The sequence below is a fragment of the Homo sapiens genome, chromosome 7, assembly GCF_000001405.40.
Source record: "Homo sapiens chromosome 7, GRCh38.p14 Primary Assembly".
Lineage (NCBI taxonomy): Eukaryota > Metazoa > Chordata > Mammalia > Primates > Hominidae > Homo > Homo sapiens.
The window spans coordinates 23,679,185-23,705,150 of NC_000007.14; the positions used below are offsets into that span (position 1 = coordinate 23,679,185).

At 40.6% G+C, this 25,966-nt stretch overlaps 1 protein-coding gene across 18 annotated transcripts, besides 2 other annotated features; it reads left to right on the plus strand.

Annotated features, from left to right (window-relative positions):
* Positions 949-1,238: a silencer, noted in NCBI's record as "silent region_18015". NCBI's record gives its function as "represses an Ori minimal core promoter by ATAC-STARR-seq in GM12878 lymphoblastoid cells {active_cell/tissue: GM12878}" and the evidence as "EXISTENCE:reporter gene assay evidence [ECO:0000049][PMID:35858748]".
* FAM221A (family with sequence similarity 221 member A) lies at positions 1,015-24,065 on the plus strand. Of its 18 annotated transcripts, none has more exons than XR_428081.4 (8): positions 1,015-1,099; positions 5,315-5,488; positions 10,085-10,275; positions 12,206-12,412; positions 19,008-19,115; positions 21,602-21,684; positions 22,912-23,037; positions 23,510-24,065. XR_428081.4 is itself a non-coding variant. In XM_011515369.3 (8 exons), exons 1-7 carry the CDS (start codon positions 1,035-1,037, stop codon positions 22,978-22,980), a joined length of 897 nt encoding a protein of 298 aa, XP_011513671.1. In that variant the 5' UTR covers positions 1,015-1,034; the 3' UTR covers positions 22,981-23,012; positions 23,510-24,065. The 18 variants fall into 18 exon arrangements, 13 of the variants coding, with proteins under 13 accessions (XP_011513671.1, XP_016867623.1, NP_954587.2 ...); XR_002956430.2 differs by having other exon boundaries at positions 21,605-21,684; XM_011515369.3 differs by having other exon boundaries at positions 22,912-23,012.
* Positions 1,569-1,818: an enhancer, noted in NCBI's record as "active region_25739". NCBI's record gives its function as "activates an Ori minimal core promoter by ATAC-STARR-seq in GM12878 lymphoblastoid cells {active_cell/tissue: GM12878}" and the evidence as "EXISTENCE:reporter gene assay evidence [ECO:0000049][PMID:35858748]".
* Positions 24,066-25,966: the final 1,901 nt, after the last annotated feature.

The window sequence follows — 25,966 nt, forward strand, 5'->3', positions numbered from 1 at the left end:
GATCACTCATTTATCTGACTGTCAAGAACGCCTCTGAACAGGAGGAAGACTTTGGGGAGAGGGTGGGGTTTGTTGAAAGGGTACCGAGAAGGGAGGTGGGTGGTACCCAAACAATTTGTTTACATAATGTTTTATGGACCTGAAATATGTAGAACAGTACTTTGAAACTAAAGTACTGTACTGAAGTTTAATTATTTTTCTTATTGTTTGCATATTCTCCCTCCCAGATACTTTACAGAGGGCGCTAAAGCTGATCCCCTGGGAGCTTCAGAGTTTAATGACTTCGCCTGAAGATTTCCTATTCTTTTCCACAACGTGCTAAGTCAAATTATGGCCAAATTACCAATCGCATGGTAATTCAGCTTCTAAATATATTTTGCAGAGTGTTTCCAAAAGTTAAAAAACAACAACAAAACTTCACCTAAATTGTTTTTACTTGCTTCACCTTAAATCAGTTATTCGGTTCCTTTGAAGAACATGTAGCTTTAGCAACCCCCAAAGTGAACCCAGATACCCAGGACTACTGATTGTTACATCAGAGTTTTTGAAAACGCCAATACTGGAAACAGGCCGACAGTTAAGGAGAGGCAGGCCTCAAACTAAAGCAGAACCTTCTCAAAACTACTTATATTTCAAGAGATGGATTAAGCGAAAAGAGCTGTACAAAGAAATAAGCCATTTTCTATGCGCCTGTTATATGCAAGGCACTGCACTCCCTTGTCACTTGTTAATTTACAAGAAGACTCGCCGGTCCAGGGAAGGGAGAGGGGAATAGGTGCAAGGTTTGTGGAGGGCGGCAAACTGCACTCCATGTGGCGCGAGGCTGCGCTTGCGGAGATCCGGGTTCTGGTGCCTGGCGCCGGCAGCCAGTAGGGGCGCGCGTCCTGCGCAGTTGCCGCGCGCGGCCTCCTCGGGCTTCAGGCCGGGCCAATCAGGAGGCGGGCGGGAGGGGGCGCGGTACCGGGAGGGAACGGGGCGGGTCGGGCTTCGAGGTCAGCTGGTCCGCAGGGAAGCCTTTGGCTTCCCCACCGGCAATGGAGCGGTTGACGTTGCCTCTCGGCGGCGCGGCGGCGGTGGACGAGTACCTGGAGTACCGGAGGTGAGGCTGTGGCTCCGGGCCTGCCCCCCCGCCGCTCCGAGGGGCCAGGATCCCTGGGCTGGGGGCGCGAGCAGGGGCCCGGCGGGCGTCCGCGGGGGTTCCCGGAATCTGTGCCTGGGCTGTTGGGGGAGGCCTAGATGAATTCCAGTTTAGTCTTTGCCTAATTAAATATTGTAGGGCCACGCGGTTCTATGCAGTGATGAGTCTTCCAATAACATTTAAGAGGCCCCTCTGCTCCCTTCCAAGAAGGATGACTAACTCTAGATTGATACAGAGGTCCAGCTGTTTTTTAAATGGCCATTGAAAACAGGCACATCGAGTACTCGGGGCTATAGAAGTTAGCATACATCAAATTAACCCAGTAATTGAGTCAACCGTGAACTTCTGAACGCGCTCCCCACCCCGAGGTGCTGGTTTTAGGAGAAAGGCACCGACTGGTGTTTGGTATTCTGGAGAAACCCCTTCCGAAACTGGAAACGGAGTCGCTCCTTTGGCCTGAGGACGCGGTTCATTGTCCTGGATCCTGACCGAGGCTGGTGCACCTGCAGCGACGCGCTCTTTTTCCGCTTCCTGGGGTTTTTGATCGTCCGGAATCTGGGCGGATGGGAAGTCCTGGAGAGGACCGCCTGAGGACGCGGAGTTGGGGCGGGAGGATGTGTGTGTACAAGCGGAGGGGAGACGCTCCAGGCTCCGCCAGGGAGGCCGGAGCGAGCGACAGGGGCTCCTCTGCGGCATCGTGGGTGGCCCAGATGACCCAGAGGTGTGCGCGCAGACGGCCCCCCAGCTGACTGTTCTCCCCTGCTCTGACTGCCCTGTTTGTGTAGTTTTGGGTAACCCTTAGAACTGCCTGGATATTCTGAGCCAGAAGAATAAGGGCTAGGAGCTTGATGGGGTCAGTTCCCACGCCCGGTTCAGGGTCAGAACAACCACCATCCCGTCCTCTCCCAGAGCAGAGCCGGCTCCTTTAGCCTCCAGTTCTCCAGAGCTTTTGCCTGGGAGCAAGTTGCTGGAGCTGGTGTTGACTGATAACTTGGATATTTAGATATGTGAATTGTGGGCCTCCAGTTGACTCTTGCCTAGCTCCGAACATGTTAGGGCAGACCTATGTATGTAGTTATTTATTTTATTGAGAAATTATTTAGTTATTTATTTTATTGAGACGGGGTCTGACTCTTTCCCAGGCTGGAGTGCAGTGGCGCGATCTCGGCTCACCGCAATCTCCGCTTCCTGGGTTCAAGTGATTCTCCTGCCTCAGCCTCCCGAGTAGCTGGGACTACAGGCGGCCAGCTAATTTTTGTATTTTCTGTAGAGACGGGATTTCACCACGTTGCCCAGGCTGGTCTTGAACTCCTGGACTCAAGCTATCCACCTGCCTCGGCCTCCTAAAGTGTTGGGATTACAGGCCTGGGCCACCGCGCCCGGCTGGGAAATTATTTTTGCAATCGTAAATAACTTGCAACACTTCCCTCTGAAAGAGATTATCAGGTCCTTTACTGACGTCAGAATTTTAGAAAAGTGGGGAAAACAGGACTTGAGTACCTAGATATGAAAAGGTGGGCTGGGAAGGTGGGGTGGGAAGATGAGTCAAAATATGAGTTTAGAAGGAAACAAACTTTCCTTCCGAAGAGTTTTCCTGGATTTGCTCTTGCCTAGGTACTTCGGTGGGAGTCGGTTGGGAGGGGAAGCATGCAGCCTTGTTACTCACACTGTGGGAGGCCCTGACCAGTGTCCTGGCATCACCTGTTAGCTTGTTAGAAAAGCAGAATCTCAGGCCCACTGCAGACCTATTATTATTATTATTATTTAGAGTCTCGCTCTGTCACCCAGGCTGGAGTGCAGTGGCACTATAATGGCTGACTGCAACCTTGACCTCCTGAGCTGAAGCGACTCTCTCTTCTCAGCCTCCTAACTAGCTAGGACTACAGGCATGCATCTCCGCACCCAGCTAATTTTAAAATTTTTTGTAGAGATGGGATCTCACTAGGATGCCCAGGCTCATCTTGAGATCCTGGCCTCAAGCAATCCTCCCACCTCAGCCTCCCAAAGTGCTGGTATTACAGGTGTGAGCCACCACATCTGGCTTTATCATGTGTGTGTGTGTGTGTGTGTGTGTGTATGTATATATATATTTATTATTATTATTATTATTATTATTATTTTTTTTTTTAGATAGAGTCTTGCTCTGCTGCCCAGGCTGGAGTGCAGTGGCGCTATCTCAGCTCACTGTAACCTCTGCCTCCGTGGAAGTGATTCTCAGTGCCTCAGTTTCCAGAGTAGTTGGGATTATAGGTGCCCACCAAAATACTAATTTTTGTATTATTGGTAGAGACAGGGTTTTGCTATATTGGCCAGGCTGGGCTCGAACTCCTGACCTCAAGTGATCCTCCTGCTTCCGCCTCCCAAAGTCCTGGGATTACAGGCATGAGCCACTGTGCTGTGAGTCTTAATCTGCATTTGAGCAAGATCCCCTGGGGATTCTGTAAGTACAATAAAATTTGAGTTGCACTGGTCTAGAACTTAAATACCAATGACATCTTACTTTTAAAAGATCTTTTAAAGATCCGTATTTATCTTAAGATCTTAATACCTGTTGGTATTCTTGATAGCTACAAGAAAATGAAATGGCCCAAAATTTATCTCAGAATTAAATGCCCTTTGTTTCTTTACTATTATGTATCTAGATTGTTTATGTAAAGAAGGCGGTTTTGATTATTTCATAGCTTATAAATTGGTTTTTCTTTTTTTCTAATGGCAAGTACATAGAGCAATGGTTTTTATTTTCTACCGCAGCTAAAGGCTTCAAAGTATGGAAAAAAGCATGTATTGCACAAAAAAGTATGTAGCATTCCACAAACATCACTTTTTGTGACTTTTCAAGGGGAGTATTTTCAGGGAGAAATGTCTTCAGTTTTGGAAAAACTTCTTTTAGTCGTGCTTTCTTTTCCTCCAGGGAGGCCAACTCTTAATTTCTTTTCATAGAAATAGTGGGGGCTTTATGTTTTCCCATAATATTTTGGGTTCTTACTTCTGAAATTAACCCATGATAAACTTGATTACCTAACACACAGATGTGGTTGGAGCTTGTGCTGAGCCAAGTGTGTATTTAGGTTCCGCATTAGTTTAAACCCCTGGCCAGGGTTTGGAGACAGGTATGGAAATTAGTCATGTTGGCTTCTGCTTTGATGTTTTTTGTACTCTTTTGGGATACATTTTCAAAGGAGGTAAATGTTAGAATTTTGAGCAGTTAAGGCTCTACCTTTAATGAGAGGAATGAACATCTTTGCTTCAATATCAAAGGAAAAGCTGAGACGAATATGTGGTAATCCTCTGTTGATAAACCTGGATCAGTAAAGTTGCATTATGAATTCATTGTCTTTCCTATTTATAACCCTCTTATATAGGAAGTGGAGGGGAGAAAAGATTTCTTTTCTCACCCATCACTAGGTTCATGGCTGAGACACCTATGTTTCTGGATCAAACCGATAGTTGGGCTGCCTATTCTCGTGGCCCAGTAATGTGATTCAGATGAACTGGGAAAGAAGGGAGATTATTTCTGTAACTGGTTATAGGGAGAAGGCCTGGAAGATATCGCCAGACCAATTCAAAATTACATATGTTTATAAGTATATATATGTTTATGTGTAAGTGTGCATTTATCTAAAGACATAAATGATTAACTTCTAATCTATAACTAAGATCTGAGTCCTGAAGACCTTCCTCTGGAGCCTCAGTAAATTTAGTTAATCTAAATGGGTCCAGGTGCTGGGGTGATTACTCTGGTCTTGTCTCCTGCTGAATCATGGAGGTTTGGGGAGTTCCTTCAGACCCCCAGTAAACTTGTTTGTGGAGGTCTGGGGAGTTTCTTCAGACCCCCAGTAAAACTTGTTTAGTCCCAAACGGGTCCTTTAAGAATTCCTTCGTTATGTTGTCATGCTTCGAGGCCCAGGAAAGGCCTGGGCAAACGCTCGGTGGGCTTTTGTTACATTCCAGCCTTTGTATAAGGACCCTGGTTCTATTAGCTTTTAATATTTAACTTAACCACTCAGTCAGTGCTGAAACAGTTGTTACAGAGACCCGGCCTGCCACATCTGTAAGAAAAGACAGATTTACAAAATAAAAGCTTACAAATTTATTTAATATTTGCAGTGGCCTGGTCATAGCTCACCCAGAAAATAAATACTCAAAGCTTAAGAGAAATATATATTTTTGTTGTAGAATTGTTGGTGAGGATGATGGAGGGAAACTTTTTACTCCTGAAGAATATGAAGAATACAAAAGAAAAGTTTTACCTCTGCGCTTACAAAACAGATTATTTGTGAGCTGGCGGTCACCAACAGGGATGGATTGTAAACTTGTGGGCCCAGAGACACTGTGTTTTTGTACACATAGGTAAGATACTTTATTGCAAAGTTTTTTGATAATTAGAAAATAAAAAGCTAAGCATATCTTACTTCTACAAATCGTAATGATTGAGAAACATTTAACAATTGTCCTTTATATAGTAGAGTAGAAATTATCAGCTGGGGATGGTGGCTCACATCTGTGTTATCCCAGAACTTTGGGAGGCCGAGGCCGGAGGACTGCTTGAGCCCAGGAGTTTAGTCTGCAGTGAGCTATGATTGTGCAACTGCATTCAAGCCTGGGTGACAGAGAGTGAAACCTTGTCTCTTAAAAAACAAAAATTGGCCGAGCTCAGTGGCTGACGCCTGTAATTCCAGCACTTTGGGAGGCCGAGGTGGGTGGATCACGAGGTCAGGAGTTTGAGACCAGTCTGGCCAACATAGTGAAACCCTGTCTCTACTAAAAATACAAAAAATTAGCCGGGCGTGGTGGCACACGCCTGTAATCCTAGCTACTTGGGAGGCTGAGGCAGGAGAATCGCTTGAACCTGGGAGGTGAGGTTGCAGTGAGCTGAGATCACGCCACTGCACACCAGCCTGAGTGGCAGTGTGAGACTCTGTCTCAAAACAAAGCAAAACAAAACAAAACAAAACAAAACAAAACAAAACAAAACAAAACAAAACCCCACAAAAATTATCTAAAGGTTTTTAAAGCTATAATTAAAAATTTTCCATCATATCTTATTAGTGCTCATCATGGAGTCTGTCACCTTAAGCAGTTCTCTTGCCATTGGTAAAAATGTTTGGTGGCCCTGTGGCTTTGCCAGGGGTCTTTCAGTTTGACTGGGGAGCAGTCTACCTACATCTCACATCATTGGAGAAAGTAGAGAATGGGTCATCAGATTGAGGAACTACTTTAAGCGTTGCTTGAATTGACCCACACTGATCATGCTGTCCATCTATAAGTATAAACATTTCTCCTCAAATTTACTAATTGCCTTTTATACCTTAAGGATCTGCTGTGTCGATACCTTTCTTTAAACAAACAAGCACACTGCTTTGCATTACAAATGGTCATGTTCCAAGAAAAGTGCCTAAAGGAAAGGAAATAAGTGAGGCTTCAGTTTTTGGCTTGAGTTGTCTGTATCTGAAGTTTGCGTTTTGCTGTGTGTATGCTCTACTTTAAATTTTGCTACCGTCTCACAGTTGTAAATAAAGTTCAGAATACCTAAGCTGCTTCACAGAAAAGTCTCTGAACCTGTTCCATGTTTTCAGGCAGCAACTTTAACTTTCGGTTCCAAGAGGAACCACCCTATTCTGATAGCAATTTCTGGGGCTCTTTCACAGAGACTCTTTGTATAGTTGCTATTTACAGAGTTGCAGTTTGCCAAAGTTTGTTAGGCAGTTGCTAGGATGAGTAATGTTGTATATAGATTGATTATAAATTTATTTAGCAACTCCAACTAAAAACACTGAGGAGGAATGGAGGATAAGGGATGTGTTGATATCTTTCAGAATTAAAGAGGGGTTTGGTAAGTTTGTGATAGTTTTATAATTTATTCTTACACAAATTTAGTGCCACTTTCTAATCTCTGTATAACTTATACAGCATGGACTTGAACGTCAGAATTGATCCAACTCAACTTTTTTTTTTTTTTGAGACAGGGTCTTACTCTGTCACTCAGGTTGGAGTGCAGTGGCACGATCTTGGCTCATTGCAGCCTCGACCTCCTGGGCTCAAGCGATCCTTCGACCTCAGCCTCCCAAGTAGCTGGGACCACAGGCGTCTGCCACCACATCCAGCTAATTTTTGTATTTTTTTGTAGAGAAGTGGTTTGGCTTTGTTACCCAGACTGGTCTGGAACTCCTGGGCTTAAGTTATCTGTCTACCTCGGGCTTTCCAAAGTACTCAGATTACACGTGTGCGCCACCATGCTCAGCTGACCCAACTCAACTTTGATGGAGAAGTTATTATATTTAGTACTGATCCACTCAGTGAGATTTCTTCCAAACTTTTTCACCCCACTATTAAAGTGGTATATGATTATCAAGGAAAATGGGGGATATATAGAAACATAGAATATATTCTATATACAATATATAGAAGCAGCTCACTACCCAAAGCCAGCTGCTAGTTTTTTTTTTTTACAATATCTGTATGACTTTTTCTTTTTTTTTTGAGACGGAGTTTCACTCTTGTTGCCCAGGCTGGAGTGCAGTGGCGCGACCTCAGCTCACTACAACCTCTGCCTCGTGGGTTCAAGCGATTCTCCTGCCTCAGCCTCCTGAGTAGCTGGGATTACAGGCATGCACCACCATGCCCTGCTAATTTTGTATTTTTAGCAGAGACGGGATTTCTCCATGTTGGTCAGGCTGGGCTCGAACTCCCAGCCTCAGGTGATCCACCTGCCTTGGCCTCCCACAGTGCTGGGATTACAGGCATGAGCCACTGTGCCATTTAACTGTTGTGAAGTATGTGTGTGCATAAAATACTGAGCCACTTTTTAATGACAGAATCATAGAAATATGTTTCCACATTGTTATGTGCTGATCAAAAACAAGATTTTTAATACCTGCCAGCTAGTCCAGCTAGTCCAGTGGTGTTTATCTGTGTTCTCCGGAGCTGTGAGGGAGCCTTGGGGGTGTGCCAGGTGGAAGGGCAGGTTAGAAGGGGAAACTCTATTCTGTTCTTCCTTTCGCTTTAACCAATTCTGCATTTGTTTTATGTATTCTGGTTCTATAAAAGATTTTATTTGACAAAAGGGTTTCACTGCTAAAATGTTTGAAAACTGTTGTCTAGTAATTTACTTACTGGTTCTCTTATGTCGTGTGGGTGTGTGTATAATGTAGCTGATGTAAGTACTATTGCTAATATTATTGGTATGCATAAAGCTTTTTCTATATATGGAATTATTTTCTTAGGGTATATTTTCCAAAAATGAAATTTCTGGTTCAAAGAATGGACCTTTTCAAGTTTCTTGAAACATTATTAAATAGAATTTGTTCTTTTGTAACACTCTTTTTTTTTTTTTTTTTTTTGAGACAGAGCCTCGCCTGTTGCCCAGGCTGGAGTACAGTGGTGCCATCTCAGCTCACTGCAACCTCTGCCTCCTGGGTTCAAGGGATTCTCCTGCCTCAGCCTCCCGAGTAGCTGGGACTACAGGCATACACCACCATGCTGGGCTAATTTTTGTATTTTTAGTAGAGATGGGGTTTTCATCATGTTGCCCAGGTTGGTCTTGAACTCCTGAGCTCAAGTGATCCACCTGCCTTGGCCTCCCAAAGTGCTGGGATTACAGGCATGTGCCACAGGCTCCTGGCCCTTTCGTAACACTCTTGATAGCATTGTGTATTACATATAGTTTTTAAAAACTTTGACTCTTTTTGCTAAGTTAAAATGGTATCTCATTTTAATTTGCATTTCTTTTTTTTTTCTTTTGAGACGGAGTCTTTCTCTGTTGCCCAGGCTGGAGTGCAGTGGCGTGATCTCGGCTCACTGCAAGCTCCGCCTCCCGGGTTCACACCATTCTCCTGCTTCAGCCTCCCAAGTAGCTGGGACTACAGGTGCCCACCACCACGCTCGGCTAATTTTTTGTATTTTTAGTAGAGACGGAGGGTTTCACCGTGTTAGCCAGGATGGTCTGGATCTCCTGACCTTGTGATCTGCCCGCCTCAGCCTCCCAAAGTGCTGGGATTACAGGTGTGAGCCACCGCAACCGGCCTTTAATTTGCATTTCTTTGATTAATATTGAGAATAATAAATTTAGTATTATTTTACTGAATATCACCTATGAGAAGAAAGTGAGTGATCTATTTAAGAAAATTACAATACTATAAGAAGGAGCTTTGGCTTTCAAAAATATTGATAATTTATTTTGAAGTCAAAAGTCATATTAAAATAAATTACATCAACACATGTTTATTGAATATATTTCTATTTTAAGTAGCAAACATGCAAATAAATTTAAGTAATGCACTGTGACAAAAATAACATTGGTAAAGAACTTTTTCTTTTCTTTTTTTTTTTTTTGAGATGGAGTTTCGCTCTTGTTGCCCAGGGTGGAGTGCAATGGTACGATCTGGGCTCACCGCAACCTCTGCCTCCTGGGTTCAAGCAGTTCTCCTGCCTCAGCCTCCTGAGTAGCTGGGGTTACAGGCATGTGCCACAACGGCCAGCTAATTTTTTATTTTTAGTAGAGACGGGGTTTCTCTATATTGGTCAGGCTGGTCTCGAACTCCCGACCTCAGGTGATCCGCCCGCCTCAGCCTCCCAAAGTGCTGGGATTACAGGCATGAGCCACTGCGCCCGGCCTGAACTTTTTCATACTCTTAGGCTGTGCTTCTCTATTAAGGAATCTGTAGAGGTAAGTGTTTTAAGGAAATTATATAATTATTCTTTGTATTGCTGTGAAACAGCTTCTTAAATAACTAAAAATAGAAATCTAAAAGAGTAAAGATTTCCTCTGACCAAAGCAACATAGGTGATACAAGTACTATATGTAGGAGAGTTTATTTTCACCTTACTATGAAGAATAATAAAGCAATAATAATTAAAAAATCATATCTGCCTTTAATATAATAGAAATTGTAATTTTTGATAATACCTGTATTGTGTTTATATTTCTCTCTCTTTCTCCTTTTTTAGGTATAAACAACATAAAACTGACTTGGAAGCGATTCCTCAGCAGTGCCCCATTGATCTGCCCTGCCAAGTGACTGGCTGCCAGTGCAGGGCTTACCTTTATGTCCCCTTGAATGGTAGCCAGCCCATTCGCTGCAGGTGCAAACACTTTGCTGATCAGCACAGTGCTGCGCCTGGCTTTACATGCAATACATGTGAGTTATATTATTATAAACACATAAACTCAGAATGTTTATATGTCTTCCTTGAATATTTAACGTGCTTTTTTACTGGTTGTAGAGTTAATATTCAGTTGTATTAGTTGTAGAGTTAATATTCAGTTATGGCGTTAATATTAAACAACTAAGTAGAATTCATTGGATAGATACTCTAAGATTTCATTTTTGTGGAAGAACTCAGAGTTAATGGTATGCTTGATAATCATAAACCCTCATCTCATATAGTTCAGATAATTTAAGTAATAGTAATGGATTTTAAAGAATTGCCAGATGTGATCTGATTCAAATTTTTGAATATGGGAGTTGAATCAACTAAATTCTATTCATAGATTTTAAAAAAGCATTTTATAAGTCAAAAAACTTTTATGGTTTGCTGATAGATTAACATAGCATGATCATTTTAATGCTTTGTATGCAGTAATACCCTTACCTTAATACCTGTACCCAAATTCCAACCTCTACCCCCTTTGCCCTTACACTGGATCATCCATTCAACTAGGTAGAGTGCTAGTCCATTAGTTTCCTTCAGGAGATAGTCAATCCAGTTGTTGTTATAGTAGTTTGAGTTGAAATCTTATGGTGAAGTGTGTAATAAAACATTTTTAATGACAGTGGCAGGAATAAATCTTTCATTGGCTGAATATGGAAGTAGTTGGAGAAAACTGATTTATTTATATGCCTTGGTTCATATATATATATATATATATATATATATATTTTTTTTTTTTTTAATAGAGTTTTGCTCTTGTCACCCAGGCTCTTGTCACCAGGAGTGCAGTGGTATGATCTTGGCTCACTGCAGCCTCTGCCTCCAGGGTTCAAGTGATGCTCCTGCCTCAGCCTCCCAAGTAGCTGAGATTATAGGTGCCCGCCACCACGCCCGGCTAATTTTTGTATTTTTAGTAGAGACGGGGTTTTGCCATGTTGGTCAGGCTGTTCTCAAACCCCTGACCTCAAGTGATCTGCCCACCTTGGCCTCCCAAAGTGCTGGGATTCCAGGCGTGAGCCACTGTGCCTAGCTGTTCCCATATATGTTTGTCAGAGGTGTGAATGGGTAAAGATTTTGTTAATAGTATATTCTGGCCTCCATTACAATGTGGCTTGATTTTTTTATACAACGACTTTTCTAAGATGCAATTCACATGTCATACAATTAACCTATTTAAAATGTGCAGTTTAATGATTTTTAATATATAATCAGCATGAATGTTGTGTAACCACCAGCACAATACATTTCAGAACATTTTTCTCACCCCAAAAAGAAACTCCATATTCACTAGGAGTCCTTCCTTACTTTTCTCTCTCCCCAGCCCTAGGCAACCCATAATCTACTTTCTGTTTCTGGATTTGCCTATTCTGGACATTTTATATAAATAGAATCATAGAATATGTGGTCTTTTGTGACTGGCTTCTTTCATTTAGCATGATGTTTTCATGATTCATCCATGTAGCCTATATCAATACTTCTTTCCTTTTTATTGCTGAGCAAGATTACACTACACCCTTTCTGTGTCTACAGGTTGGCCTTCTAATTTGGCTTTTATGGGGAGTTGATCTGTAGGAAGATTTCTACATTATCTCTTCACCTGGTCCTGGCCACTGGGCTCTCCCCGCCATGCCTGCTTATAATTCAGTTTTTGAGGAGAGGGTCTGCATTACCTGGCTCTTCAATTTCTTTTAGTCCTTGTTGTGTTTTGCAGTTTTTTTTTTTTCTGTGTTGTATCTGGTTACTACTTCGGCATGTTTTAGAAGTAAGAACAGTGGCTAGGAAGGAGTTCGGTGGCTGGAGGTAAGAGTTACAGGGGCCAGAGGATCTAGGTTCAGCTGGCTTTTGCCAGGCTAAGTGTCTTTAGGGTAGACAACATAGTACCTTTAAGAATTTAACTCCCTTTACATCTTGATTCAGGTTCCAAGTGTTCAGGATTCCATAGCTGCTTCACTTGTGCTTGTGGTCAGCCTGCATATGCCCATGACACAGTAGTGGAAACTAAGCAAGAAAGATTGGCTCAGGAAAAACCAGTGGGACAGGACATTCCTTATGCAGCCATGGGAGGATTAACTGGTTTCAGCTCGCTGGCGGAAGGCTACATGCGGTTAGATGACAGTGGGATTGGTAAGTGATACTATATGAAATGTGAGCCCATTGTATTGTTTTTATGTGTGCTAACAATAGTGAAGCCTTATATTTGTTAAGCAATTTATAGTATTTTTCTTTCAGAAAACATTCTCTCGTTTGATTTTTATTTTTTAAAAGAGGTTTTTAAAATTTTTATTTTATTTTTTATTTTTTCAGACCTATTTAGTATCCATAAAAGAGGTTTTATTGCTACTATACAATGTATTGTCATTATAGAATTTAGAAAGCAAGTGGCAGAGATCATTTCCATCCCAATACTTGTACTCAAATTTGAATCTGCATCTCCACTGTTTGTAATAGCTGAATAATATTTATTTTATTTGATATGATATAGTTTACCTGTTACTCTACTGTATGTAACTTAAGCTATTATATCCATTTCATTTTGGAAACAATAGGTTTATGTTCATGTGTGTATATGAACATACGTGTATATACATGTAATCACTTCTGTAGTAAAATATGTATATATGTATGTGCACACACATATATCTTCTTGCATACATATATGTTGTAAATAATGTAGGGAAAGTTTAATAGGATCTATTCTAAACTATTAAAGGTAGATGGATCCTTCTGAGAGCTGAGCGGGACTGGGGAGCAGAATGTGTTCCCTGTCTACTTGAAACACAGGTGTGTAAGTTTTTTTTTTCTTTTTTACAACAAGCATGTATTTTTTCATTTAAAAATTACATAAATACAAGTGTATATTTTCTTTTCTTTTCTTTTTTTTTTTTTGAGACGGAGTTTTGCTCTTCTTGCCCAGGCTGGAGTGCAATGGCGCGATCTCGGCTCACCGCAACCTCCGCCTCCCGGGTTCAAGCAATTCTCCTGCCTCAGCCTCCCGACTAGCTGGGATTACAGGCATGCACCACCACGCCCGGCTAATTTTGTATTTTTAGTAGAGATGGGGGTTTCTCCATGTTGGTCAGGCTGGTCTCGAACTCCTGACCTCAGGTGATCTGCCTGCCTCAGCCTCCCAAAGTGCTGGGATTACAGGCTTCAGCCACCACGCCAGGCCCATACGAGTATATATTTTCTTGTAAAAGATTCAAACAATAGAAATTAAGTGGAAAAAGAAAGAAATTAAGTGCAAAACACCCTTGAATACTTCTCTTTGTCTAATTCTTTCCCCGAGGGTAATTTGCTATCATCAATTAATTTTTCTCTTTAACATACAATTTTACTATTTACTTTTTAATTTTTAAAAATTATTTGTATTTATTGTTTAAGAGATAGGGTCTTGCTATGGTGGTAGGCTAGGTTTGAACTCCTGGGTTCAAGCGATCCTCCAGTCTCAGTCTTCCTAGTAGCTGGGATTACAGGCATGCATCACCATACCTGGCTTTACTTTTTTTTCAACTTAGAAAAATGTGAAGGCCTATTGTGTCAGGACACACAAGTCTACTTCATTCTTTTTAACTGCTGTATGGTATTCCACACTGTAGATAAAGCAGTTTATCTAACCATTTCCTTGTTCATGGCATTTAGATTTCCATCTTTGAATTTGTCTGCCTGTATCCTTGCATGAATTTGACTCTAAGGTAGATACAGAGAAGTAAAACTATTGGAGCGTGTTAACCTGTAAAATTCTAATACATTCTGCCAGAATGTCCTCCAAAAATGCTCTGCTTGTTTTTACATCCTCTACTGATGCTTTAGCTTGCCTGTTTCCTCACATTTAGGCTAATCATTGATATTATTAAACTTGATTTTTTTTGCCAGTCTGACATGTAAAATTGTTATTGTTGTTTCAATTTGATTTCCCTGGTTATTAGTGAGATAGGGATCTTTTCATATTTATTGGCCATTTCACTTTCTGTGAATTGCCTATTCATATCCCTTGCTCATTTTTTTTTTGTTTTTATCTTTTGTCATTGACTTATAGGAAGTCTTTTTATATATTCTGTATATTTTTTTGTTATTTATTTTGCAAACATTTTCTCCCAAGCTATCATTTGTCTCTTAATTTTTTTTTTCTTTACAGTTTAGAAATTTTGGAGACAGTCCTTTCCTATTTCAGTTTTATAAATATATTCTCCTGCGTTTTATTTTAATACTTTTTTATGTTTAGCTTTTTCATATATCTGTAATTTATTTTTTGTGAAAGTGTGAGGTAGATGTTTCTAACTTCAGTTTTTGTCTAAATTGATGGCCAGTTATTCAAGCACCATTCTTGCCCAAATCATTTGAAACTCTACCATATTCTTTATTTTTATTTTACTTTAAGTTCTGGGATACATGTGCAGAACATGCAGGTTTGTTACATAGGTATACATGTGCCATGGTGATCTGTTGCACCTATCAACCCATCATCTAGGTTTTAAGCCCTGCATGCATTAGCTATTTGTCCTAATGCCCTCCCTCCACTCGCCTCCCACCCTCTGACAGGCCCCTGTGTGTGATGTTGCCCTCCTTGTGTCCATGTGTTCTCACTGTTCAACTCCCACTTGTGAGTGAGAACATGCAGTGTTTAGTTTTCTGTTCCTGCATTAGTTTGCTGAGAATGATGGCTTCCAGCCTCATCCATGTCCCTGCAAAATACATGAACTCATTCTTTTTTATGGCTGCATAGTATTCTGTGGAAACTACCATATTCTGTCATATTCTCCATTTTGTACCACTGGCCCATTTGTCTATCCTGTGCCAATATTATATATTTATGTAATATATATTTTTTATGATAGCTTCCTGGTGTGTCATGATATTTGATATGGTAAATTCCTCCTGTTTGTGATTGTTTTCAAGATTGTCTTGATATTTTTGTGCATTTTCTCTTCTAGGTAATTTTATAACTAGCTTGTTAAATTTCATAAGTAAATTCTTCTGCAGTTTTATGGGTGCATAATTGTGTTAGGCTCAAGCAACAGCTAAAGAAAACCCAACTACCAGTGTCAAAACATAATGATGATGATGATCATGTTTGATGACGGCAGCTTTGTACTACCAGCAGTTGTTTGAACCACATCACTTAATCCTCACAACAACTCTGTGAGTTAGATTATTATTCCTATTTTACAGATGAGGATACGCAGCACAGAGAAGTAAAATAAGTTGCTCAGTGTTATTCAACTAGGAAGTAGCAGGGTTGGGTTCAACCTGAAGATTTCTGTGGGCTCTCTAGTCTGCCACATTGTTGGCTATTTGTGTACAGCCACTATGTTGTTTTCATTACTGCAGCTTTATCATAAATAAATTAGTTAATATTTATGACTTCATTTTATTGCTTCAGAATTTTCCTGACCTGTTCTTATGTTTTAATTCTTTCAGAACTTTGGCATCATTTTGTTAAGGTATTATAAACTCTGTTATTTTAATTGAGATCACATTGAATATGTAGATGAATGTAGAAATAATTTTTTTTTTAAAGATGGGGTTTTGCTTTGTTTTCCAGGCTGGACTGCGGTAGTATGATTATAGCTCACCGCAGCCTTGAACTCCTGGGCTTAAGCAGTCCTCCCACCCAACCTCCCGAGTAGCTGTGCCTGTGGGCGCATGCCAGTATGCCTGGCTAATATTTTACATTTTATATTTTTTTTAGAGACAGAGTCTTACTATGTTGCTCAGGTTGGTGTCAAACTCCGAAGGTCAAGTAATCCTCCCACCTCAGACTCCTGAGTAGCTGGGACTACAGGTGTGAGCCACCATGTAGAATTGATATTTTTCAGTATTGTCTTTTCATTTATTTGTCATCTGTGCAACTAAGTGGAATTCTGAAGTTGTTTTCCCAGAAGTCTTGCACAATCTTATTAAGTTTATTTCTAGGTATTTAACTTTTTTTGAGATGGAATCTTGCTCTGTCTCCCAGGCTGGAGTGCCTTGGCTCACTGCAATCTCTGCCTCCTGGGTTCAAGTGATTCTCCTGCCTCAGCCTCCTGAGTAGCTGGGATTACAGGCGCATGCCACCATGCCTGGCTAATTTTTGTATTTTTAGTAGAGGCATGGTTTCACCATGTTGGCCAGGCTGGTCTTGAACTCCTGACCTCAGGTGATCTGCCCGCCTCGGCCTCCCAAAGAGCTGGGATTACAGGTGTAAGCCACTATTCCTGGCCAATTTTTTTTCATTGGTATCATACATGAGATATTTTTTCTTCTATTATATCTTCTTACTGATTATTATTTGTTTATAAAAAAGCAAAAGTGTTTCATTGCTTTTGTTACCATTCTTATTACTTAGAGTTTTTACTCAATTTTTAGTTTATTTTATAAAAATAATGTTTTTTCCTCTTCCTTTCCAATATTTGTGACTCTTCTTATTCTTGACTAGTCAAAATGGCTAGTACTTCCAGAACAATGCTAAATAATGGTGGTAGCTGGCATCTTTGCCCTTTAGTGACGTCTAGTATTTTAACACTAAGTATCTTCAAGGTATAGTCATGTGCCACTAAATGATGGGGATACATTCTGGAAAATGCATTGTTAGTTGATGTTCGTTATGTGAACATCATAGAGTGTACTTACATAAACCTAGATGGTAGAGCATACTACACACCTAGCTACATGGTATAGCCTTTTGTTCCTAGGCAACAAACTTGTTCATCATGCTACTGTACTGAATGCTGTAGACAATTGTAACACAATAGTGAGCATTTGTATATCTAAATTTTTCTAAATATAGAAAAGGTACAGTAAAAATATGGCATAAAAAATAAAATGGGCCGTGTGCAGTGGCTTATGCCTGTAATCCCAGCATTTGGGAGGCTGAGGCAGGCAGATCGCTTGAGCCCAGGAGTTTGAGACCAGCCTAGGCAACATGGCGAAACCCTGTCTCTACAAAAATACAAAAAATTAGCTGGGCCTGGTATTGTGTGTGTGCCTGTAATCCCAGCTACTTGGTGAGGGCTGAGGTGAGAGGATCACCTGAGCTTTGGATGCAGAGGTTGCAATGAGCTGTGATGGCACCATTGCCCTCCAGCCTGGGTGACAGAGTAACACCCTGCCTCAAAGTAAATAAATAAAATGTTACACTTTTATAGGGCAGCTCTGTTACAATCTTATGTGGCCACCATTGTATATGCAGTCCATTGTTGACCAAAATGCCTTATGTAACACATGATTTCATAGGGAAAGAAAGCCTCTTCCTTTTGGTCAATGAAAGAAGGTGGAGTGAAGAAAGGTGAGAGTAAGGAGAGGAAATATAAGATGTTTTTGTTCTGATTTCAGGTATAGAGGAACCTAGGGACAGAGGGACTCCAGATTTTTAGCCATGTGGATACCTAGACCGAGGAAACCTCTTGCTGGAATTTGGTTCCTTTTTGATGTGGAAGGAGCCCATAATTCCCAGCTCTCTGGGGGTGTGGGAAGGCAGCTGACCTGTGAGTCAGTGGGCCAGTCATGCATCTATCATAGCAGGGGGCAGAGCTGGAGGTGGGTTCCCTAAGCTCGGGGACTCAATAGAGGAAGTGACAGGTATTGAGGGAGTCTGTACTTATAGTCGGAGCAAGCATGAGGCTACCAGGCCCTATCAAGCTGAGAGACCAACTTATTAAATACAAGTTGAGCATTTGAGATCAGTAGCACATGCAGCCGCCAGAGGGCAGCACAAGGACGTGCGTGGGCCAGAGCCCCTTCTCCCATGTTCCCACATGCCCCATGGAAGCCACTGGGGCCAGGAGCGGGGAGAGACTGAGCAATCGTCCCACACTGTTTATGTTATAAGATGGGGCTAACTTCTAACCCAATTAGGACCACCTGTGGTGTAGAGATAGCAGTGTAGGGGAAAGGTGGTGGTTTGTGAAGAAGATAGAGCAGCTACACATTTTCTCTGCAGCTTCCTTCCTTTTGGTCCAAAAGTCAATATATTTAGCAATTAGTCTTTGTAGTTTATGGTTTGGAGTTGTGGATGTTTCCTCATTTCATTGAAGAGGGTGCTTTCTTCTTTATTTTTCATACTTTGTTTTTAGATGGTTTCCTAGTAAGGAATAGAGTAAAAATACACTTATTCTACCCTTTTCAGCCAGAGGTTCCTTATTGTGAATGTCTTGCTTTTGATAGTGTTTTATAACTATTATATATTAGGGTTTTGAACTTCTATGCTAACATAGGTACATAATATTCTTTTTTTCTGTGAAAAAGTTCTCAGAAATGTGCAGAAGAATACTTTTACCCATTTGCTTTTACTTTATATGTCAGACAAAAATCTAAATAAAAAGAGTCTCACAGTGTTGCCCAGGCCGGATCCAGTGAAGTGATGTGATCATAGCTCACTGCAGCCTCAAATTCCTGGGCTCAAATGATCTTCCTGCTTTACCCTTCCAAGTAGGTAGGGCTACAGGCACACACCACCATGTCCAACTAATTTATGTATTTTTTTTTTTTTGGTAGAGATGGGGTCTCCCTATGTTACCAAGACTGGTCTTGAACTCCTGGCCTCAAGTAATCCTCTTGCTTTGGCTTTCCAAAGTGTTGGCATTACAGGCATGAGCCATTACACCCAGTCTAAAATTTTTTTTTTATAGAAAGAATTTCTAATAATTCTGCTGAGGTTCCAATTTATTTTACATTAGAAGTAATAACTTGTTTGTATCCCTGTAAATATTTAATTTTTATTCTCCATGTATTGTTTTCTCAGGTGTACCTTCAGTTGAATTTTTAGAATCTCCCATTACGGCAGTAGACAGCCCATTCCTAAAAGCATTTCAAGCATCATCTAGTTCTTCTCCAGAAACGTTAACAGATGGTAATGAAATGAAGTTTAGAACTGTTTTTGGATGTAGTAAATTGGAATATGGAGCTTTGATTTGTTTTCTAGGCATCTCTCTTTTTTTCATTATTACGATAATTTAACTTCAAGTTAAGCTATCATTTTACTTTCTTTTATGTAAGCCACACACTGAGAAAAAGCAAGCAACTTCATTTTGTATTGGGAAAAATAGCTAACTCCGAGAATGTCGAGGATTCTGATACTACTATAATTTGAAGTTTTAAACCTTGTTCTGGTACATGCTGTTGCTCTGGTGTTTGAATAAGAGGGCCTTCTGGCGGCCTAATTGCCTTTGGGTTTTCCCAAAGAGGCGTAATCCAGTGATAACCATAGGTTAGCAGGGTTTTATCATTTATAAATTAAGAGCAAGTAGAATTCATTTTTAAGCACCAGTATTCTGTATTTTCCTTACTGAAAACAGGAAGAATGAATTTGTATGACTTATTAGGTATTTAAAATTTAGTATTTTAGAATATTTTAAAATGAGAATTTTCTTTATCTGTATTTTCATACACCTAGACGTTCCCCACAAGGAATTTTAAGGCTGCTTGCCTTAAAACATACAACTTAGTACATAATGATAAAATATATATACAAGTAAGAAGCCAAGAAAAGGACACAGCTGTGGCAGCTTTCAAGGTTGATGTAATTGCTTTGTTTAAACTTCAGTTTTGACTGAGTTTAGTGGCAGCCAAGACACAGAGGAAAGTGCAGTCAATTAAATGCTTTCTTTATTAGACAGGAGGAAGCCCGAGTTCCTCAGTGCTAATGAATGTTACACCAATGCTGGAATTTTTTTTTTTTTTTTTTTTGAGACAAGTTCTCTCTCTGTTGTCCAAGCTGGTGTGCAGTGGTGTGATCATGGCTCACTGTTACCTTGAACTCCAGGGCTCAAGTGATCTTCCTGCCTCAGCCTTCCACATAGCTAGGAGTACAGGTGTGCCCCCACACCTGGGTAATTAAAAAAACTTTTTTTTTGCAGCAGCAGGGTCTTGCTATGTTGACTAGGCTGGTCTCAAACTCCTGGCCTCAAGCTAGCCTCCTGCCTCAGCTTCCCAAAGCACTAGGATTATAGCTATGTGTCACTGCTCCTGGCCTGGCATGCTGGATTTTAAGTCAGTATAGTGACCCTCAGTGATTAGTGACCAAGGTAAAAGCTTTTTTTCAGCAAATACAGCAGACAGTTGCTTGTTTCTGATAGTCACCTTTTCCTTTTTTTTTTTTTTTTTTTTTTTTTGAGACAGAGTCTTGATCTGTTACCCAGGCTGGAGTATAGTGGTGTGATCTTGGCTTACTGCAACCTCCACCTACCTGGCTCAAGTGATCTCCCACCTCAGCCACCTGAGTAGCTGGGACTATAGGGATGCACCACCATGTCCAGCTAAATTTTGAATTTTTTGTAGAGACAGGGTTTTGCCATGTTGCCCAGGCTGGTCTCGAACTCTTGAGTTCAAGCAATCCACCTGCCTCCACCTCCCAAAGTGCTGGGACTACAGGCGTGAATCAGTGCACCTGGCCTGATAGTCACCTTTGAAGAGTTGTGATATACCATTTTACTAGATAAATGGTAATATGCCATTATAATGCAACTCAATGTAGATGAGTCTGGAAGAGGCTGGGCTCAAATGGTCCCACATGATCCAGGGATAGACCCAGAGTTTCCAGAGGAATGGGTGGATAACACTTATTCAAATAAGAATCCCTTCTTACTCTTCTCAATAAAACTTTTGTCAAAGATAATCGACAGACTGTAGCTATACTCTGTGGTGATTGTCTGGAGTTACATGTTGCTGATTGAGGGTGAATTCATATGCTTTAGAAACTAGAAGCGCAAGTGTTCAGGTTGCTAGTCTGCTTTGGAAATGAAGGGACCCAGTGAAGACCTTCACTCGCAATGAAGGTGTACTTTTCTATGCAATTAGGCTCTTGGCTACCTGCCAAGAAAACCAGATGTTTTCCTACTGAAGCAATTTCAAAAGTTCCTTTCAGCATATAAATTAGTGCTTGATCCATTTGACAAAGTGATTACCGTAAAAAATGGATAAAATAGTTCAGTTTTGAAAGATTTTGAAGCAGGTACTATCATTACTTATGGTTGCCTATACCAAGCCTCAATAATTACTTTTGTGCATTATCTCAAAGTGTAACATGGATTTCTAGTTATAAAATGTAAAAAGTAGTTGGACAAAACTAAGTGTACTCTTATACGGAATAGCTATATGGTGCTATTTAATATGAACTGTGGAATATTTGGAGAATGTTTGCTAGTGAAAAACACTTTTGTCCTGTGATGCCATTCTCTCTAAAAGAGAATGAGGTAGTAGGACCAATTATTCATTTAGGCCATTTTTGGTTTGAAAAATAAAACATTATCACCGAGCAGGAGAAAACTTTTCTTTCTTTTATTTCAGGGGAATATGTAATGATATAAATACATTACTTAGATTTTTTTTCCTTGTTAGTAGGTACAAGTAGTCAAGTTTCTTCATTAAGGAGACCTGAAGAGGATGATATGGCTTTCTTTGAAAGACGATACCAGGAAAGGGTAGGTTTTTGAGGAAATTCAGTTGCACTAAGCATTTACTTGTAGCAAAAGCACTAGAATGATTATACATTGAATGTGGAACATCCTTGAAAATAATTTATAAAGTCTTTACTTACAGTTGGTGTTAGGCCTTGAGGCTTATTAGAATACACAGAAACAGGGCTAAAGAATAACATGATATTTAATACACTGGTTGATTTATGAAGGCCATAAAGATTGGATAAATACGCAGATAAAATTGTCAGTAATAAACATCAATATCAGCAGATTTGTAAATTATATGTATCTTGAATTCTTTTTTTATACATGTACCTTTATTTTTTATTTAAAAATATTTGCCAAATAAAGATTGAATATATTTTGAATTCTCTTTTTTTTTTTTTTTTTTTGAGACGGAGTCTTGGTCTGTCGCCCAGGCTGGAGTGCAGTGGCGCGATCTCGGCTCACTGCAAGCTCCGCCTCCCGGGTTCACGCCATTCTCCTGCTTCAGCCTCCCGAGTAGCTGGGACCACAGGCGCCCACCACCATGCCCAGCTAATTTTTTGTATTTTTAGTAGAGACGGGGTTTCACTGTGTTAGCCAGGATGGTCTGGATCTCCTGACCTCGTGATCCACCCGCCTCGGCCTCGCAAAGTGCTGGGATTACAGGCATGAGCCACCGCGCCTGGTGCCTATTTTGAATTCTTAATATGTATTATTTATTCTTCTTAGAGGCTTTTAGGTGTATCCAGACTCGTTAAAATTACCCAATACACATCTGGGCACAGTGGCTGCTTTTTTGCTTTAACTACAATGGAGGAGGAAAAGACTTTCAGAAAGGTAACTGTGGGAATATAGAAACCAGAATTATAGAAAACTATCCTTAAAGCAGTCCACGTTCCAGAGAGAATCCAGCTGGATTAGGTGCATTATGTAACTCTGTAGGGAATGTGCATAGGCTGGATGTAAGTTTAGTCATTTTAAGCACTTGTAATTTTAGTGGCAATTGAAATTGTTTTCTCTAAAGCAATATTCATATATTACTTTTATTAAAATGCTTCTGTAAAATTAAAATAAAACCATCTGAAAATGTGTAATTATGTCCCTTTAACAGATTTTGGCTTTAGTATTTAGCAGCTTAATAACTGTGGAATGGCTGTGACATGAATCTGAATGAGTTTTCTGCAAGTTTTTTTTCTTTAGAATGGTTTACAAGTTATTATATCAATAAATATGTTAAATTTACAGATGAAAATGGAAAAGGCTGCTAAGTGGAAAGGAAAAGCTCCATTGCCATCAGCTACAAAACCTTCATGAAGACTATTGGAGAAATTAAAACCATCATCCAAGTATCTTTTTCATGTTTATTTAAATGTAATAATACAGTTTATTTTTCCTGAAATTATTTACTTTTTTTTTTTACTGTATAAATGTCTTTTGGGATGTTTCCTTAATTTATTTAAATAACTAAAAATGCCTATTACTTTTGTCAAAACTCATAATTTACTACTTTGTATGTACCTTTCTTTCTCCTGACAAATGAGGTTATTTTATATGAGTCTGTCTGAGAGTACAGTAAATGTTTTTAGTACATAATAATTTAACTGTTTCAGGTATTTAAAAAATTAAAGATATTATCAAGGGTTTTGGACAAACATATGAGCCATTTTTTTGTCATTCAAAATAGTAAGTTAAAAACAAGAGAACAAAAGAAAAAAATAGTTAAAATCATTAATTTTTTTATTTTTCAAACTTTGTAATGTTATGTTTTCAAATAAAAACTATCTCAAAATTTTACAACCATTTTCTAGTGATATTACTGATTTTTTTTTTCAATCTTTCTCAGGCTGAAGATATCTACTGATTTTTACGTTGTGTTGTCAACCACCCATTGTCTATGACTGTACTGGACACATCTTGTGTGCCACTGCAAATCCTCTTGGCCCCGTTTCTTACTCCATTACTGCTGTGGAACACTTTCCAGCAGGCTTCTGATAGCGGAAGCCATTTGATGGCACCTTGTCTTGGGCGCATGTCATGGCTCTCTTGCTTCCTTCTGCAGGGATCTTCTGACACTGTGGCTTGGGATGCCCACTAGAACCCCACTGTATGATACATATGCAGCCCAAAGATGTTGGGGAGCTAGTGACTTTGGGGCCACTCTTGATTAATGGGAGGTGGAAGCCCAATACATAAGTGCTCTCCCGTCTGTTGGGAAGACAATTCTGAAATGCATTTCATAAACTTCCTCAGAAAGTCCTATCGTTGAGCTCCAGTCACCCATAGCAGTGGCCAACTCAATAATAATATATCCTTATCTTTCTTTTTTCCTTTTCCACTCCTCTACCCCTCCCTCTAGTTCCCTCAGATCACTTCCCAAATAAACTACTTGTATAACAACACTTACAGGTATAAGAACATTTGTCTTAGGCTTTGCTTTTGGGCAAGGGATAAACTCAGGCTAAGATGGTTAGTACCAGGAATGGCCTTTGACAGCAAAGACTCAGGATAGTATCCTGTGACTGGATCAGTTACTGCAGTGGATTTGGATGAAGTGCAGGTGGCAGGTGAAGTGCTAGGTTATGCAGTCGCTGTGCCACTACAGTGAAATGGGACTAGTGGAAATTATAAAGATTAAGTATTCACTTGCTACTGTGAAATGCTTTAGGAGCTTTGAAAAAGAAAATGACACAGGCTCATGATAGCCATTTAACTCAAGGAATGCTGTGAAAGCCAGAGTCCCTCTGTAGCACTTTCAGGAAACTCATCTGCAGATGCAGGGCAGACTGTGCTGCCAATGAGGCCCAAATCTAATAGTAAAGGTGGCAGGGCTGCAGAGGAGACAGAATGCACAGCCTTGCTAGTCCCCAGCAAAGTCAGTGCTGACACAAAAACAGTGGAACCCTAAATCACAGGATGGGACATTTGTGTTGGTGAGCCTGAGAATCTTGAATCCTCAGGTTTCCATGAACTCTGAGCTGGCACAAGCCGTGTCCTCCAATTTTCTAGTGGAGAATAGCCTGCCCTTACCTTGAGATTCTGTAAAGGCTTTATCTGAGGCAGTTGCATCACAAGGTAACACTTATCCTCCTCAAGATCCACCCTTGTTTCCTCTCATTGACTCCAAAGTAATAACTAGGATCAGGTCTTAGCAAACCCTAAGTTGGGGAATACAGTCCTTCCTCTAGGAGGATAGGTTTCACTCTGAATCAACTGCAGATTCTGGTTAAAATGTATTGGGAGGAACCCAGGAAACATGTCTGAGAGTAGATCTTGAGGATATTGAGTCAAGGGGTGGGGTGGAGGTGGAATATAAGGCTTGATAGGAGAGAGTGACATGGGAGCGCTCACTCATGATGCATGATTTAATTCCCTGGCAAGAATCTCTGGAGTTGCTCCTAACACAATGCAAGGATGGCATATAGAAGATATGATAGGCATGCTAGCAGTTATCTGACATAGTATTGAGGAAGCGGTCAGAAAGCTCAGGGATGTATTTGTTGTTTGAAACTGGAGAAGTTATCACCCGACTTTTCCCTGGGAGGGTCCAGATGATATTCATAACTAAGGCAAAAAAATATATAATGGTAGTCAGGTGCAGTGGATCACACCTGTAATCCCAGCACTTTGGGAGGCTGAAGTGAGAGGATTGCTTGAGCCCAGGAGTTCAAGACCAGCCTGGGCAACATAGTGAGAGCTCGTCTATACAGACACACACACACACACACACGGTGGGCATGGTGGTGCATGCCTGTAGTCCTAGCTTCTTGGGAGGCTGAGGTGGGAGGACTGCTTGAGCCAGGAGGTTGAGGCTGCAGTGATCCTTGATCATGCCAATACACTAGCCTGGGTGACAGAGTGAGATCCTGTCTCAAACAACAACAAAGAGAAATGTAATGGTGAAGAGCATACTGGAAACTTTGAAAAGCTTGGCAATGGTTGATTGACCTCTACAGGCTAGAACTGATGATGGAAGATGCTGTCATGACAATGGGCTCTGTGGTATCAATGTAGATAGATGATGGGATGCTGAAATTTTGAAGGCCAAGTTGCAGAACTTAACTGTCAGGGGCCCAGTGGACCTAATTAACTTAATGGGCACCTAGGCATGAATCTGTGAACAAGGTAAAGTTCATGATGTTCCAAGGGGCAAGACAGAAGGACAGCTGATTAGGATGTTATTTGAGTTGTATAATTGACTTGTTATATAATGATGTTGATTGACTTGTATTATTTGACTCCTCTCACCCCTCAAAAAAGAAAATTGAGAATTGGCAAGGAGAAGGCTGACATCAATCTTGGT

Bases quoted from the DNA above. Each gene is read 5' to 3' on its own strand.
- FAM221A (XM_011515369.3), top strand. From the start codon at position 1,035: ATGGAGCGGTTGACGTTGCCTCTCGGCGGCGCGGCGGCGGTGGACGAG. The intron at 10,276-12,205 runs GTGAGTTATATT...ATCTTGATTCAG, and splicing joins TGGCTTTACATGCAATACAT to GTTCCAAGTGTTCAGGATTC. The intron at 19,116-21,601 runs GTAATGAAATGA...TTTCCTTGTTAG, and splicing joins TCCAGAAACGTTAACAGATG to TAGGTACAAGTAGTCAAGTT.